Source organism: Homo sapiens, chromosome 9 (genome assembly GCF_000001405.40).
Source record: "Homo sapiens chromosome 9, GRCh38.p14 Primary Assembly".
Taxonomy (NCBI): Eukaryota; Metazoa; Chordata; class Mammalia; order Primates; family Hominidae; genus Homo; species Homo sapiens.
The window spans coordinates 137,676,606-137,692,653 of NC_000009.12; the positions used below are offsets into that span (position 1 = coordinate 137,676,606).

The 16,048-nt window shown below is 45.5% G+C and overlaps 1 protein-coding gene and 1 long non-coding RNA gene across 32 annotated transcripts in view, besides 7 other annotated features; both read left to right on the plus strand.

Annotated features, from left to right (window-relative positions):
* Positions 1-16,048, plus strand: part of EHMT1 (euchromatic histone lysine methyltransferase 1) — a 217,123-nt gene that overhangs the window by 57,601 nt on the left and 143,474 nt on the right. The window lies entirely within an intron of this gene.
* Positions 2,108-2,824: an enhancer, noted in NCBI's record as "OCT4-NANOG-H3K27ac hESC enhancer chr9:140573165-140573881 (GRCh37/hg19 assembly coordinates)". NCBI's record gives its function as "activates a minimal SCP1, AML or CMV promoter by ChIP-STARR-seq in naive H9 embryonic stem cells {active_cell/tissue: H9 hESC(naive)}" and the evidence as "EXISTENCE:reporter gene assay evidence [ECO:0000049][PMID:30033119]".
* Positions 3,548-4,149: an enhancer, noted in NCBI's record as "H3K27ac-H3K4me1 hESC enhancer chr9:140574605-140575206 (GRCh37/hg19 assembly coordinates)". NCBI's record gives its function as "activates a minimal SCP1, AML or CMV promoter by ChIP-STARR-seq in naive H9 embryonic stem cells {active_cell/tissue: H9 hESC(naive)}" and the evidence as "EXISTENCE:reporter gene assay evidence [ECO:0000049][PMID:30033119]".
* Positions 3,566-3,615: an enhancer, noted in NCBI's record as "active region_29360". NCBI's record gives its function as "activates an Ori minimal core promoter by ATAC-STARR-seq in GM12878 lymphoblastoid cells {active_cell/tissue: GM12878}" and the evidence as "EXISTENCE:reporter gene assay evidence [ECO:0000049][PMID:35858748]".
* LOC124902319 (uncharacterized) lies at positions 3,808-12,628 on the plus strand. Its single transcript, XR_007061886.1, has 2 exons — positions 3,808-8,730; positions 12,409-12,628. It is a non-coding gene; the product is annotated as an uncharacterized LOC124902319 (long non-coding RNA).
* Positions 4,150-4,749: an enhancer, noted in NCBI's record as "H3K27ac-H3K4me1 hESC enhancer chr9:140575207-140575806 (GRCh37/hg19 assembly coordinates)". NCBI's record gives its function as "activates a minimal SCP1, AML or CMV promoter by ChIP-STARR-seq in naive H9 embryonic stem cells {active_cell/tissue: H9 hESC(naive)}" and the evidence as "EXISTENCE:reporter gene assay evidence [ECO:0000049][PMID:30033119]".
* Positions 4,452-4,746: a silencer, noted in NCBI's record as "tiled region #8502; K562 Repressive DNase unmatched - State 8:EnhW". NCBI's record gives its function as "represses a minimal TATA promoter and a strong SV40 promoter by Sharpr-MPRA in K562 cells {active_cell/tissue: K562}" and the evidence as "EXISTENCE:reporter gene assay evidence [ECO:0000049][PMID:27701403]".
* Positions 5,803-6,779: an enhancer, noted in NCBI's record as "H3K27ac-H3K4me1 hESC enhancer chr9:140576860-140577836 (GRCh37/hg19 assembly coordinates)". NCBI's record gives its function as "activates a minimal SCP1, AML or CMV promoter by ChIP-STARR-seq in primed H9 embryonic stem cells {active_cell/tissue: H9 hESC(primed)}" and the evidence as "EXISTENCE:reporter gene assay evidence [ECO:0000049][PMID:30033119]".
* Positions 13,300-13,802: an enhancer, noted in NCBI's record as "H3K4me1 hESC enhancer chr9:140584357-140584859 (GRCh37/hg19 assembly coordinates)". NCBI's record gives its function as "activates a minimal SCP1, AML or CMV promoter by ChIP-STARR-seq in primed H9 embryonic stem cells {active_cell/tissue: H9 hESC(primed)}" and the evidence as "EXISTENCE:reporter gene assay evidence [ECO:0000049][PMID:30033119]".

Here is a 16,048-nt window from a genome sequence, read left to right on the forward strand (position 1 = left end):
CGGAGAATCTCCGCCCTGCCCCCGCAAGCCTTTACGCCAAATGCTTTTGTGCAGAGGAGGGAACCTGCCCACAGGGGACTGGAGTCCGCATGAGCAGTGGGGGAAGTGGGTGGAGCCACAGGGGACTGGAGCCCACATGCGCACTGGGGGAAGTGGGTGGGGTCACGGAATTCCGCCTTCCGCAGGGGAGGAGCTTCTCTTTTCAGTTCCTGGGTGAGGGCCTGGGATTCCATCTGTGAGATGGGGGTCCTGTAAGCAGGACTCCATCCCGCTTTGCTGAGAATTTTTTTTTTTCCCTTTTTGCCCAATAAAACCTTGCTCTACTCACCCTTTAGTGTGTCCTGTCCTCATGTCTAAATTTTCCTGGTTGTGTGACAAGAACCGGATTTTAGCTGAACTAAGGAGCAAAATTCTCCAACGCTTTTGTTGCCCAGGCTGATCTTGAACACCTGGGCTCAAGCGATCTTCCCACCTCGATCTCTCAAGGTGCTGGGATCACGGACATGAGTTGTCACAGCCAGCCACTGACTGGAGTTTTTTTTTTTTAAGACAGAGTTTCGCTCTGTCGCCCAGGCTGGATTGCCGTGACGCAATCTCTGCTCATTGCAACCTCCACCTCCCAGGTTTAAACGATTCTCCTGTCTCAGTCTCCCAAGTAGCTGGGATTACAGCGTGTGGCACCATGTCTGGCTAACTTTTGTATTTTCTTGTAGAGACGGGGGTTTTGCCATGTTGCCCAGGCTGGTCTTGAACTCTTGGACTCCAGGGATCTGCCTACCTCGTCCTCCTAAAGTGCTGGGATTACAGGCGTGAGCCACCAGGACTTGCCTGACTGGACATTTTTAATTTTTTTTTTCTTTGAGATGGAGTCTCCCTCTTTCGTCCGGGCTGCTCACCGCAAGCTCTGCCTCCCGGGTTCACGCCATTCTCCTGCCTCAGCCTCCCGAGTTGGTGGGACTATAGGCGCCCGCCACCACGCCCGGCTAAGTTTTTCTATTTTTAGTAGAGACGGGGTTTCATCGTGTTAGCCAGGACTAGGCATTTTTAATGAAGGGGGTACACAGAGTCAGCCACAGTGGTGTTTATAATTGACAAAAAGAGTTGGTTGGGTAGATTGTGCTGTTACTATATAACACAACACTGTTGTGTATCTTAAAAAAATAGTATTGTCAGCCGAGCACGGTGGCTCACGCCTGTAATCCCAGCACTTTGGGAGGCGGAGGCGGGCGGATCACGAAGTCAGGAGATTGAGACCATCCTGGCTAATACGGTGAAACCCCGTCTCGACTAAAAATACAAAAAAAGAAAAAAAAAAAAGCCGGGCGTGGCGGCGGGCGCCTGTAGTCCCAGCTACTCAGGAGGCTGAGGCAGGAGAATGGCGTGAACCCGGGAGGCGGAGCTTGCAGTGAACCAAGATGGCGCCACTGCACTCCAGCCTGGGCGACAGAGCGAGACTCCGTCTCAAAAATAATAATAATAATAATAATGTTGTCAAAATCTTAATCAGGTTTAGTGGAAAAATAGATTAAAAACTAGTATATAATCCACTAATATAAAAAATCTGTAAGGGATATACTAAGATGTTTACTGTTGGTGGTAAGATTAGGGGCCATTTTTGTTTCTTGTGATTTGTTTTTTCTCTCCTGATGACACTGCTAGAGCCCCCAGCACAGTGTTTGAATGCTGTGGAAGTGGCACCTCCATGGCTTTTCCTGATCGCTGGGGGGAAGCATGAGGCCTTTCACCATAACGCTGCTGAGTAAGTTGGTAACCACAAGATTTTCGTAGATATCCTTTATCAGGTTGAACTTTTTATTGTGAAATAATTTTGTGAAATGCTTTTTCTCCCTCCGTTGTCACGATCATGTGCTTTCTGTCCGTGTCAGTTCCCTGCGTGCAGCCGTGCGTGTTCTGTCTGGTGTTCCTGTCTCGCCGCGTTGGGATAGCCTCACTCACCTGGGATGATACCTTCTGAGATCCCTAGCTGATGCCTGAAATCACAGATAGTACTGAACTCTCTATATACCAGGTTTTTTTCTTAGACACATATACCGATGGTAAAGTTTAGTTTATAAATCAGGCACAGTAAAAGTTATATGAATGTCCCCCCCCCCGCTCCCCCCGAAAAACGTATTGCACTCTACTCAGTCGGCGTCTTGTGATCTGTCTATCTGACGAGGGAGACGGCTGCCCAGCAGCTGGCAGATGGGCATTGGTTACAGGATGGACACAGGGACAGAGAAAGGACTCACATCCAGGGCAGGACTGATGGTGCAGTGCCAGAGTTAGCATGCTACTCAGAGCAGTGTGCAGCTGAAAACTGAGAATTTGTTTATTTATCTTATTTTATTTTATTTTATTTTTTTGAGATGGAGTCTGGCTCTGTCGCCCAGGCTGGAGTGCAATGGCGCGATCTCCGCTCACTGTAATCTCCGCCTCCCGGGTTCAAGTGATTCTCCTGCCTCAGCCTCCTGGGTAGCTGGGACTACAGGCACACGCCATGCCCAGCTAATTTTTGTACTTTTAATAGAGACGGGGTTTCACCATGTTGGCCAGGCTGGTCTCGAACTCCTGACTTCGTGATCTGCCCGCCTCGGCCTCCCAGAGTGCTGGGATTACAGGTGTGAGCCACTGTGCCCGACCTGAGAAATTGTTTGTTTCTGGAATTTTTCATTTAATATTTTTGGACTGTGGTTGACTGTGGGTAACTGAAACTGTGGCAAGCAAAACCACGGATCAGGGGACTGCTGCGATTGATCTTCAGGTTCAAGCAGCCTTGCACCTGGGATACATCTCGGGTGGTCCTCAGTGTGGCACCCTCTTGACATGCGGTTGCATTCATTTGCTGATGTTTTGTTAGGGGTTACTGATGTGGAGTTCCCTTTGTTTTCTGTGTAATGCTGTTCTCACAGAAGGCGCTGGGAGGTGTTTCCTCCTCTTCTTACTAATTCCTGAGCACTGATGGGGTTGAGCATTTTCCTGTATGTCTGTTGGCCATTTGGGAATGCCTGTTTAATTCATTTGCCCGTTTTTATGTTGTCTTTTTTAAAAAACTGATTTGTAGTTCTTTCCTTATAGAGTTAAGAGTAAGTAAAGCTATTGTACTTAGCCAAATACATTGGATATTTTTTTCTGTGTTTTAAAGTTTATTTATTCATTTTTACCATATAAATGTTTGAAATATTTTGGTAGTTAAATCTGTAAAGCTTTTCCTTTGTGATTTCTGACCTTGGCATTGTGCCTAGAGTCAGGAGTTCCTTGTTTCAGGGCTGTCAGGTATTTTTTCCTGCTGTTTTTGTGATTTATTGTTTTATGATTCTTTCACTCATTGATCTGCAATGCTGATGGCCTTCTCCTCCCAGTACTTAGCCAGCTGCCTCAGTGTCTCAGTGAGTGTTTGATTATTCTCCTTTCCTGCTGATGTGAAATGCCTCTACGTTGTATCTGTATCTTGTATTGTATTCCCCCTTCCTGCTGATGCGAAATGCCTCTACGTTGTATCTGTATCTTGTATTGTGTTCCTGTTTTTAGATGAAAGTCTTGTGGCTTTTTTTTAGTTGCTTATGCTATTAAAAGCATCAGGTGGGACCAGGTGCGGTGGCTCACACCCATAATCCCAGCACTCTGGGAGGCCGAGGCGAGTGGATCACTTGAGGCCAGGAGTTCAAGACCAGCCTGGCTAACATGGAGAAACCCCGTCTCTACTAAAAATACAAATTTAGCCAGGTGTGGTGGTGCACGCTTGTGATCCCAGCTACTTGGGAGGCCGAGGCATGAGAGTCACTTGAACTGGAGAGGCAGAGGTTGCAGTGGGCTGAAATTGTGCCACTGCACTCCAGCCTGGGCGACAGAGCCAGACTCTGTCTCAAAAAAACAATTATCAAGTGGGTCATAATTTGCATGGAAATAAATTATGTATAGATTTACCAGAAGGAATAGTCCATGAGAAAAGGTAGATTGTACTGTTCACGTTCTGTGTGAGATACCAGTGTTTTTCATCAGTACTGTTTGTCCATTGTGAGATGGTCCTGCACCATGTTTTCTTAGCAACCATGGCAGAAGGTAGTTGGAAATTAGATACTGCAGTCTTCCAGAGAGGCCTCAGTGTGGGGGGATGCAAAGAAGGTGCACTGTGTGCGGGGCACCACCTGTGAGACCCTAACCCCGAGCTGCTCCCCACACCACACTGGGGCCGCTGCGTGAGACTGGTGAGGCCGGACACTTGCGTGCGAGTTGCACGAAGCAGGCTTGTCACTCACAGATGAGCAGGGGACAGCAGATGCCGGGGCTCGTGGTGATCTGGCCCCCAAGGCTCAGGCAAGTGGCCAGGGTGGATGGGGTCTTGTCTGCATTATCTGTGTGTGCCCTATGTTGTACTGCAGTTGGGAGACCCCGAAAGTGCTATTTTGGGTTTTATACTCGGGGCCACCTGACCCGCTGGACTGAGTTTTAGGACACCCTGTTGTGGGAGGGACAGGAGCAAAGCCCAGGCCACTCTCAGCTGCTCCTTATCTCAGGGTGTTGCATTCCCAGCACATTGGAAAGTTTTTCTTGAGAACTGCAAGCAAGAAAGGAGGGAGAACTGGGTGGTTCAGTTCTCTGTCCCCGGGGAGCTGTCCTGCTGGGGCAGGTGATGGAATCTGCCACATTTTCAGTGTTTTTGCCGCGTGTCTGTAACCAGCATCTAAGTGTGCAGGGGTTACTTTGGAACCCTGAGAATTGTATTTAGCTCCAGGCCTCAGGATTTTGCTATAACTTTGTAGTAGCTGCATTACACATCCCACAAATTCTTTTGGCCTATAAAATATATAATTATAGATCCTGAGGAACTTGGCTTAATATATTATTGATACAAAAACAGTACAAAACTGCTTTGACTAAAATTCCTTCGTTATTTGTAGTAGCAAAATATGTTGTTTTTTCTCTCCAGCAATTCAGAATTGTCCACTGCCTTGGTATTTCTAATTTCCCTGCTTGTCCAGGTGACATCTGTTTGCTTTCCTGATACCTTCACAGGCTTCCCTTGTCCCCAGGAAGCCTCCCACGCCCGTCCACTTTCTCTCCTGTCTCCAGTTTCCCATGAGGCACAGCTGGTGCCGAGGCATCCGAGTCTCCCCTGCACCTCTGGATCGCACACACTCATTCTGCTTTTCCCTCCTGTATTTTGACCAGATCTGACTTTTGCTAAGTCCATGTGCCCCTCCAGGTGTTTGTGTGGTGAGACATTGTGCTCATTCATTCCCTGGAAAGTTTGCAGTGTGTCTGGTACGTAAGCGTGAGGCGGGTCACTGATGCGGGAAGCTCTCCTCACAGTGAAACCGTCCTCGCGGTTTTTGTGTTTTTTTGTTTGTTTGTTTGTTTTTTTGAGGCAGTCTCGCTCTGTCGCCCAGGCTTGAGTGCAGTGGTGCCATCTCGGCTCACTGCAAGCTCTGCCTCCCGGATTCACACCATTCTCCTGCCTCAGCCTCCCGAGTAGCTGGGACTACAGGCGCCCCCACCACGCCCGCTCATTTTTTGTATTTTTAGTAGAGACGGGGTTTCTCCGTGTTCGTCAGGATGGTCTCAATCTCCTGACCTCATGATCCGCCCACCTCAGCCTCCCAAAGTGCTGGGATTACAAGCGTGAGCCACCGTGTCCGGCCAAAATCGTCCTCTTTAAAGCAGCCACTGGGTTTGGAATTTATTAAATACTTGAAAATCTCAAAAAGTTAAAAATGTCAGGTGAACTGTTGTTTTTTCCCCCCAGTACCAACCTTTATGTGTTATGTGAGGAAATACTGAGTTTATTATTTTTGATGGAAAATTTATGATTTCTAAGAAGTCATTTTTTGACTGAGAACTTTTATCTTTCTCAAATCTTAGCCTGAACTAGCCAAGTTCAGGCTGCTGTAGCGAGCGTCTCCCTGGCGGCCAGAGTTGCAGGGCTGTGCTAGAGTTTGCTAGCCGCTGGGATGCCTTGAGATAGAGGTGTGACCCTGGGCCTCTTCACCAGGTGGCAGAAACCAGCTTAGATCAGCTTCTGCTAAAGAGGCCACTTGTCACCTCACATGACAAGGAGCTTGGAGAGGCTTTACTTCTGTGTGCCGCCTTCCCCGTGGGCGGTGAGCTGTCCCTGGGGTCATATCCAACCCCCTGAGGATGACGGCTGCTCTGTTAGTCTCAGTGCTGCACTGAGACCCGCAGGCCCCACGGCTGGAGAGGTGGGGAAGGATGTGATTTCTGTTACTGGACAGGCAGTGCTGGGCCCCTAGGACGATGGGTCACTCCAGCCCAGCTGCGAACAGGTGCGCTGCCTGCAGGGGCTGCCCTGCACGTGCGAGTGAGTGCCCACACGCTGCACCAGTTGGAACTGAGAGTCAGGCGGAAGGGCCTGTGTGCCCTGGCCTTAACTCTGGGTTTGCAGGATTTTCGCACACCACTTTTATTTCAGTTTCTAGTTCTTTCCACAGCTAGATTCAGTTATATTAATAAGCATAAAAGCCAAAATTGTGTTTCTGTTACATGGGTTAGTTAGGTCACTGTTTGACAGGCATTCTCATTTAATAGACTTTATTAAAATCATCAGTAAAGCTGCTACTATGGGATACAAGCTCAGAGACAGAATATATTACACTTATTTGAATCTTTGTTAAAATGGCATTTGTAGACAAGAGATCAGAGTCCCTGAGGTAAAAGCGGATCTGCTATTTGGTGCTACGATAAGGCTAAATAGCAGTGAGAATTTCTGCTGGTGCCCCCAGGGAATTAATAAGGCTGGGAGGGGGAGTAAAAACTATACATAAGCCAGTGCCTTTAACATTCATGTATAACCTTCCAAACATTTAACGACTGTGTGAATATGTGAATTAATTAATAGAGATGAGGTCATGTTATGTTGCCCAGGCTGGAGTGCAGTGGCACAATCATGGCTCATTGCAGCCTCAACCTCCTGGGCTCAAGCCCAAGTAGCTGAGACTACAGGTGCACCATCATGACTGGCTATGATGTAGATTTTTTTGCTCATATTGGTTAAGGGAAAAGTGGTCGTCTAACAGTATGTGTAGTATCTCATTTATATAATATGTGTAAATTATACCTTTATCAGCGTATTTGCACAGAAAAATGTTTGGAAGGTTATACTTGAATGTTAAAGTAATTGGCTTATGCATAGTTTTTATTTTTTCCCTATTAATTTCCTTTATTTAAATTAAAAAAATTATACAATGACACGAGTTTATCTTTTCAAAATCAAATCCCATTCAAGCAGAATGTCCCTACCTACCCCCTCACTCTCCACCCCCGCAGCTTGTATTGTGATGAGTTTGATGTATATCCTTCAAGATCTTTGCCTTTAATTTTTTAGAGAGATGCTTGAACCCGTCAACAATATAATATTGCTTTGTATATATTTCATTTTTTTCCTATTAACTGTTTTTTGTTTGTTTGTTTGTTTTTTTGCTTGTTTTTTGAGACAGGGCCTCACTCTGTCACCCAGGCTGGAGTGCAGTGGTTGCAGTCACGGCTCACTGTAGCCTCGACCTCCCGGGCTCAGGTGATTCTCCCACTTCAGCCTCTTGAGTAGCTGGGACAGGAGCATGCCACCACGCCTGGCTAATTTTTGTATTTTTTGTAGAGACGAGGTTTTGCCATGTTGCCCAGGCTGGTCTCAAACTCCTGGACTCAAGCAATCTGCCCGCCTTGGCCTCCCAAAGTGCTGGGATTACAGGGGTGAGCCACTGTGCCTGGCCAACTGTTTTTAATTTGAAATAATTTCAACTGAATAGAAAAGTTGCAAGTGTGATAAATGAGATGTTTTTCTTGAGCCGTTTGAAAGTTGCCTAGATGCCCCTTCATTCCTAAATACATTAGCGTGTATTTCCTACAAAGCCATTATTTTTTGTTGTTGTTGTTTTTGATTTTGTTTTGAGATGGGGTCTTACTCTGTCACCCATGTTGGAGTGCAGTGGTGTGATCTTGGCTCACTGCAACCTCCACCTCCCAGGCTCAAGCAATCCTACTACCTTAGCCTCCCAAGTAGCTGGGACCACAGGTATGTGCCATTAGGCCCGGCTAATTTTTTCAATTTTTGGTAGAAACAGGGTTTTACCACTTTGCCCAGGCTGCTCTCGAACTCCTGAGCTCAGGCGATCTCCACCTCAGCCTCCCAACGTGCTGGGATTGTAGGCATGAGCCACCATACCCAGCGTACAAAGCCATTCTTTTACTGAATTATGATATAACTAGTCAACGTCAGGAAGTTTATATGTATGTTTAAAATATATATGTGGTATTTTGCTATGTCCTGTTTTTTTACTCCACAAGTTATTATTTTCTGATTTGAATTACTGCATATACATTGTATTTTTCCTTTTAAAGGAGTCTTTTCTAATAATTGCATTGGTCTCATAGCCACAAATTAAAGAAATTTATGATTGCATCTGTAAGGTTTGTTTGTATACCTCTAAATCTTTTTTCCCCTTGCTGGTTTTTTTATTGTGATAAAGTATACTTAACATAAATTTTACTACTTTAGCCATTTCTAAGTGTGCTATTAAGTGGCATTAAGTACCTTCACAGTGTTGCATAACAACCATTGTAACCGTCATCAGTCTGTTTCCAAAACATTTTCATCACCCCAAGCAGAAACTCTGTATCCATTAAACAGTAACTTCTCTTATCTTCCTCCTCCCAGCTCCTGGTAACCCCTGATAGACTTTTTGTCTCTGAATTTGCTTAAACCCGATATTTCATGTAAGTGGAATTATACAATATTTGTCCTTTTGTGTCTGGCTTATGTCATGTAGCATAAGGTTTTCAAGATTCACCCAGGTTGTAGCAGGTATCAGAACCCATTCCTGGATATATACTGTGTTTTGTTTATTCATTCATCTGTTAATGGGCACATGAGTTTTTTCCTATCTTCTGGCTCTTGTGAATAATGCTGCTTCGAACATGTATATGCGAGTATCTGTTTTCAGTTCTTTGGGGTATATACCTAGGAGTGGAATTGCTGGATCATGTGGTACTTCTGTGTTTAACTTCCCGAGGTCAAACTGATAAGCAGTTTTTCATGGTAGCTCCATCATTTTGTGTTTCCATTAGCAATACATGAGGGTTCAGATTTCTCTACTCCTCACCAACACTTTTTGCTGTCCATTTTGTTGATTGTAGCTATCCTAGTGGGAGCAACGTGGTATGTCATTGTGGTTTTGACTTACATTTCTGCAATGCATAATGAATGATGTTGGCCATCTTTTCATGTATTTATTGGCTGTTTGCATATCTTTGGAGAAATGTTTATTCAGATCTTTTGCCCATTTTGGAATTTGTCTTTTTATTGCGTTGTAAGATTATTCATTTATTTAGTCAGTCAGTCAGTCACGGGATCTCACTGTGTTGCCCAGGCTGGTCTCCAGCCCCTGGACTCAGGTGGCACTCCCAGTTCAGTCTCCTGAGTAGCTGGATTACAGGTGTGAGCCACTGTGCCAGGCTTGGAAGAGTTCTTTATATTTTCCAGATACTGGGCCCTTACCAGATACATGATTTGGAAGTATTTTCTCTCGTTCCTTAAGTTGTCTTTTTATTTCTTGATGGTGTCCTTTGCAGCACAGATGTTTTTAGTTTTGATGACGTCCAATTTATCTGTTTTTTCTTTGGTTGCTTGTGCTTTTGGTGTGATAATTTAAGAAATTGTTGCCTAACTCAAGGTTGTGAAGACTTACCCCTGTGTTTTCTTGTAAGAGTTTTATAGTTTTATCTCATATTTGTTTTTTTTATCTATTTTGAGGCAGTTTTAAAAATTTTTTTAATTTTTTTATTTTTTGAGGCAGGGTCTCGCTCAGTCACCTAGGCTGGAGTGCAGTGGTGCAATCACAGCTCACTCTAGCCCTGACCTCTGGGGCTCAGGCATTCCTTTCACCTCAGCCTCCTGAGTAGCTGGGACCACAGGTGTGCACCCCCATCCCCGGCTAGTTTTTGTATTTTTTGTAGAGACCAGGGTTTGCCATGTTGCCCATGCTGATCTGGAACTCCTGGCCTCAAGCTACTTGGCCTCCAAGAGTGCTGGGATTAGAGGTGTGAGCCACTGTGCCCAGCTGAGTCAATTTTTATACATGGCATGAGGTAGGGGTCCAACCTCATTCTTTCTTTTTTTTTTTTTTTTTTGAGATGGAGTCTCGCTCTGTCACCCAGGCTAGAGTGCAGTGGCGTGATCTCGGCTCGCTACAAGCTCTGCCTCCCGGGTTCATGCCATTCTCCTGCCTCAGCCTCCCGAGTAGCTGGGACTACGGGCGCCCGCCACCGCGCCCAGCTAATTTTTTGTATTTTTAGTAGAGACGGGGTTTCACCATGTAGCCAGGATGGTCTTGATCTCCTGGCCTCATGATCCACCCGCCTCGGCCTCCCAAAGTGCTGGAATTACAGGCATGAGCCACCGCGCTGGCCCCAACTTCATTCTTTTGCATGTGGTAATCCAGTTGCCCCAGCAACATAGTTGATAGGTCTTCCTTATCAAATTCATGGTCTGTTCTTGTCAAATATCGATATACTGTAAAGGTATGGGCTTATTTCTAGGTTCATAATTCAATCCCATTGATGTGTGTATCTGACTTTTTGCCAGTAACACACTGTCCTGATTATTGTAGCTGTGTATTAAATGGGAAAATGTGAGTCCTCCAGCTGTATCCTTCTTTTTCCAATTGTTTTGGCTCTCTTGACCCTCTGAATTTCCTTATGAATTTTAGGATCAGCTTATCATTTTCTGCAACAATAACAGCAGCAAAGCCAGTTGAGATTGTACTTGGGGCTGCATTGGGTCAGTTTAGGTAGAGTTTAGGTGGAGGAGTTGAGGTAGAGTTGAGGTAGAGAGTTGAGGTAGAGTTCAGGTAGAGAGTTTAGGTGGAGGAGTTTAGGTAGAGTTCAGGTAGAGTTTAGGTAGTGCTGTTGCCTGAGTGTTTGTGTTCCCCCCAAAACCAAGGTGTTAGTGTTAGCAGGGGAGGCTTTTGGGAGGTGCTTTTGTCATGAGGCAGAGTTTTCATGAATGGGATTAGTGCCTTAGAAAAGAGGCTTGGGAGAGACTCCTACCCGTCACGCGAGGACACGGCAAGAAGATGGCAGGCCATGAGCCCGGAAATGAGAGCCTGGCCACACGCTGAATTTGCCAGCACCTTGATCTTGGATTTCCGAGCCTCCAGAACTTAAACAAATAAATTTCTGTTGGGTCTGTGCCACCCACATGAAGGCAGTTTGTTATAATAGCCTGAAAGGATAAAGTCAGAGCACGTCATCGTGTCACCGTCTTCACGGTGTGGTCTCTGATCCTTCAACATGGGGCGTCTTTCTATTTAATTGAAACTTCTTTGATTTCTTTCAACTATGTTTTGTAGTTTCATTGTACAAGCTTGAACTTGTTTTGATAAATTTATTTCTTTAGTATTCTTTTTGGTTTGGAATTTTTTTTAGATGGAGTCTTACTCTGTTGCCCAGGCTGGAGTGCAGTGGCACAATCTCGGCTCACTCCAACCTCTGCCTCCTGGGTTCAAGTGATTCTTCTGCCTCAGCCTCCCAAGTAACTGGGATTACAAGCATGCGCCACCACGCCTGGCTAATTTTTGTATTTTTAGTAGAGACAGGGGTTCACCATGTTGGCCAGGCTGGTCTCGAACTCCTAACCTCTAGTGATCTGCCTGCCTCGGCCTTCCAAAGTGCTGGGATTATAAGAGTGAGCCATTGTGCCCAGCGTGGAACTGTTCTTGAAATTTCATTTTTATATTCTTCATTGGTAGTTTATATAAACTCGGTTCATTTTCATGTGTTCATCTCATACCTTGCCACGCTGCTGGACTCTTTATCCCACACTGGGCCGTGGCCGGCTGCCAGCGCTGCACCCCTCCTCCTCAGAGCACATGGAGGGCCACACTGATGCCTGTGCTTGCTGGAGGCTCTTGAAATGATCACTTGGGAAGAATAAGCATATCTGCTTTATTGTGAAGAGAAATATCAATGTAGAGCATTTGTACTGTCTAAATGAGATTTTAAAAAGGGATAGTTTTATAATATTATGGAAATACTTAGAAAATAAAATTTTAATAGATTGTCCAACCGCTATCCACTTGATTACCATCACTTAGCAGTGCGTTTTGTGTATTCTCATGCACACGTTTGTATTTGTCATGAGTGATGAGTTTGCTTCTGCGTTCTCCTCGGTTGGTGTCATATCACTGCATGGACAGCAGGTGTGTGAAGGTTTGTGTCATCCACCGAGTCTGCCCTGACTGAACTGGTCACATCCGCGGATGGCCGTGGTGACCTCTTCTGAGCTCTGATCTGCTATTGTGGATGTCTTTGTACAAGAGGAAGTGACTGTCCTGATGGGAGTGGTGAGCTGCTGCAGGAGTGACTGACAGTGACTGCTTGTTCTCCATCCCCCAGGAGTGACTGACAGTGACCGCTTGTTCTGCATCCCCCAGGAGTGACTGTGACTGCTTGTTCTCCATCCCCCAGGAGTGACTGATTGTGACTACTTGTTCTCCATTCCCCTTTTTACACTGGAAAGGATTTTATTTTCAATTACAAAAGAAGTCTCTATGTATAATCTTATTGTGGAAAAAAATCAAACATTGCAAATAAAGCTACAGTTTTCTTTGGTCAATGGATCCCACCTCCTCCTCAGAAATACATTGTATGTGAGTTTGGTATGTGTCCTTCAGGAGTATTTTTGTGCGTGTTCATAGATAATTGAGCTGTGTGCTATTGTTTTTGTGAGTATGTACTTTTTAACATTATGAAATTGCATTCTATGTGTTGGTTGACATTTTTTTCACTTTTAAAAAATTGACACGGCCGGGTGCGGTGGCTCATGCTGTTAATCCCAGCACTTTGGGAGGCGGAGGTGGGTGGATCATGAGGTCAGGAGTTCAAGACCAGCCTGGCCAACATGGTGAAACCCTGTCTCTACTAAAAATACAAAAATTAGCCGGGTGCAGTGGTGCACACCTGTAATCCCAGCTACTCAGGAGGCTGAGGCAGGAGATTGGCTTGAACCTGGGAGACAGAGGTTGCAGTGAGCTGAGATTGCGCCACTGCACTCCAGTCTGGGTGACAGAGCAAGACTCCGTCTCAAAAGAAAAAGAAAAGGACACATAACAGATGTACACATTTTTTTGGGTACCTGCGATTGTCATTTGATGTGTGAATAAAGAGCTAAGGAGGGTGAGAGAGATAAGCTGCATAGACATCTGGGAGGAAGGGGCTCCAGGTGGGAATGACTGCAGTTGTGGGGGCCAGCTCCTGGGCAGGTGCCCACCATGTTGGCTGCTGTGCCTGGCGTGGAGTAGACGCGTGGAGATGAGGCCGAGGAACTCTGGTCAGTCGTGGTGAACAGAAGCAGTGCACGCATAGGCTCTCAGAAAGAACTTGCCTCTTATTCCGAGCAAGATGGGAAGCCACTAGAATGTTTTAAACAGAGGACTGGTGCATGATCTGACTTACATTTTAATGGGATTTACTATGTTAAGACCCAAGGTGACGTGGGGAAAACTGTGAGAGATGAGATGGCAGGCAGTGTTGCTGGTGTGAGAAGTGATGGGATTTCTCATGTATTTTGAAGGCGGAGACTAGATTTGCCGATGGACGTCATGTAGAATTTGGAAGTGAGGAATGCAGGGTGACTTACTCTTGTGTATTTGCTTTTCTATTTCACAGTATTTCATAGAGCTCTTCCCATGTCAGTACATAGAGATCAACTTTATGAGCTGTTGCATAATAATCAGACAGCAGGAGGCTGAGCTTAGCGGCTCATGCTGTCATCCCAGCGCTTTGAGAGGCCGAAGTGGGAAGATTGCTTGAGCCCAGGAGTTCAAGACTGCAGTGAGCTGTGATTGCCTCACTGCACTCCCGCCTGGGTGGCAGTGAGACCCTGTCTCAAAAAAAAAAAAAAAAAAAAATTACAGACTAGATGTCGAAGAATATATCTTGTTTCTTGTTTATTTTATTTTATTTTTTTTGAGACAGAGTCTTGCTGTGTCGCCCAGGCTGGAGTGCAGTGGCGCGATCTCGGCTCACTGCAACCTCTGCCTCCCGGGTTCAAGTGATTCTCCTGCCTTAGCCTCCCAAGTAGCTGGGATTACAGGCGTGTGCCACCACACCCAGCCCTCTCCTTTAAACATTCCCGTGTTGGTGGTCATTGTGATCATCACTTGTGTATGTTGCTGTTACAAATTGCACTGCTGCTTTAAACAGCATCATATATTCTTCCACATGTACATGTCCAAGAGTGTTTCTAGATAAGCACCATGAAGTTAAGGTGCTGGGTCATACAGAGAGGACTCATTTAAACATGTTTTAAAATTATGACAACATATACATAACATAAAATTCACCATCTTAACCATTTTTAAGTATAAAGCTCAGTATTGTTAAGTATATTCACATTGTGCTGCTGTTACCACCATCCAGCTCCAGAACTTTTTCATCATTTCAAGCTGAAACTCTGTCTCCATTAAATGCCAAGTCTCCATTCCTCCCTCCCCTCAGCTCTTGGCACCCACCTTTCTATTTCCTGTCTCTAAGACTTGGACTATCTAGGGACCTTACACAAGTGGACCATACAGTATTTATCTTTTGTGCTTGGCTCATTTCTCATAGCATAATGTCCTTAAGGTTCATCTGTGTTATAGGATGTGTCTGAATTTCCTTCCTTTTTAAGGCTGAATAGTATATATGTAATTATATATATATATATAAAATATATTTTTTTTTCTTAAAATTTTTTTTTTGTAGAGACAGAGTTTCTCTGTGTTGCCTAGTCTGGTCTCGAATTCCTGAGCTCAAGTGATCTGCCCGCCTCAGCCTCCCAAAGTGCTGAGATTACAGGCTTGAGCCACCGCGCCCAGCCGTAATGTTCTGTTGTATGAATGGACTACATTTTGTTTGTCCATTAGTGGATGTCCGTTGATGGACACTTGGGTTGCTTCCACCCCTTGGCTATTGCAAGCAATGCTGTTGTGAACATGGTGTGTAAATATCTCTTTGAGACCCTGCTTTCAATTGCTAGGTCATATGGTAATTCTATTTTTGATGTGTTGAGGAACCGCCATACTGTTTCCCATAGCAACCGCACCATTTTGCATTCTCACTAGCAGCACGCAAGGGTTCCAGCTTCTCCACGTCCTTGCCAGCACTTGTAAGGGTCCATCTCTTTGATGACAGTCTCTCCTGGGTGTGAAGTGGCCTCTTGTGCTTGGTACACTTGCCTGGCTCTTGGCTCCCGCCCACATGCGAAGCGCCCTGTCTCCCCTGGGCAGGGACTGGGCCCTGTGTTTCCTGGCCCTGGTTCTCTCATTTCCTTCCTCTTTTAATAGAGGACCTTTTGAGAGTGTTCTCTTTCCCTGAAATATAAATGAAGTGCAGTTTACTAAAAATTCACAGGATATTCCTGATTGTATTGAAGTGCAAAACAGGCAGAACTAATGAGAAGGGTGATGTGTGTAAGAATTTGGAAATGGTATAGGATGAGAATCATACACAACACCAGCCAGTATCAGGCAAGGTTCCAGAACACCACTGGGGAAGGGGCTCCTTCAGCGCTGATGAAGAACGTTTACGTGCACCTGTGGATCTTTCACATGGCATGTCGTCACTAGATGGTGTTTTTCTTTTTTTTCTTTTCTTTCTTTCTTTCTTTCTTTTTTTTTTTTTTTGAGACAGAGCCTCACTCTGTTGTCCAGGCTGGAGTGCAGTGGTGTGATCTTAGCTCACTGCAACCTCCGCCTCCTGGGTTCAAGCAATTCTCCTGCCTCAGCCTCCCAAGTAGCTGGGATTGCAGGCGTGCACCACCGCGCCGGGCTAGTGTTTGTATTTTTAGTGGAAACGGGGTTTCGCTGTGTTGGCCAGGCCCGATCTCGAACTCCTGACCTCAGGTGATCCACCCACCTCAGCCTCCCAAAGTGCTGGTATTACAGACGTGAGCCACCGAGCCCGGCCTCAGATGGTGTTTTTCCATCAACTTTTTCTTTTTACTTAGAAAGGAGTTTTTAAAACCATAAAAAGTGAGAAAACTCTCTTTTAGACG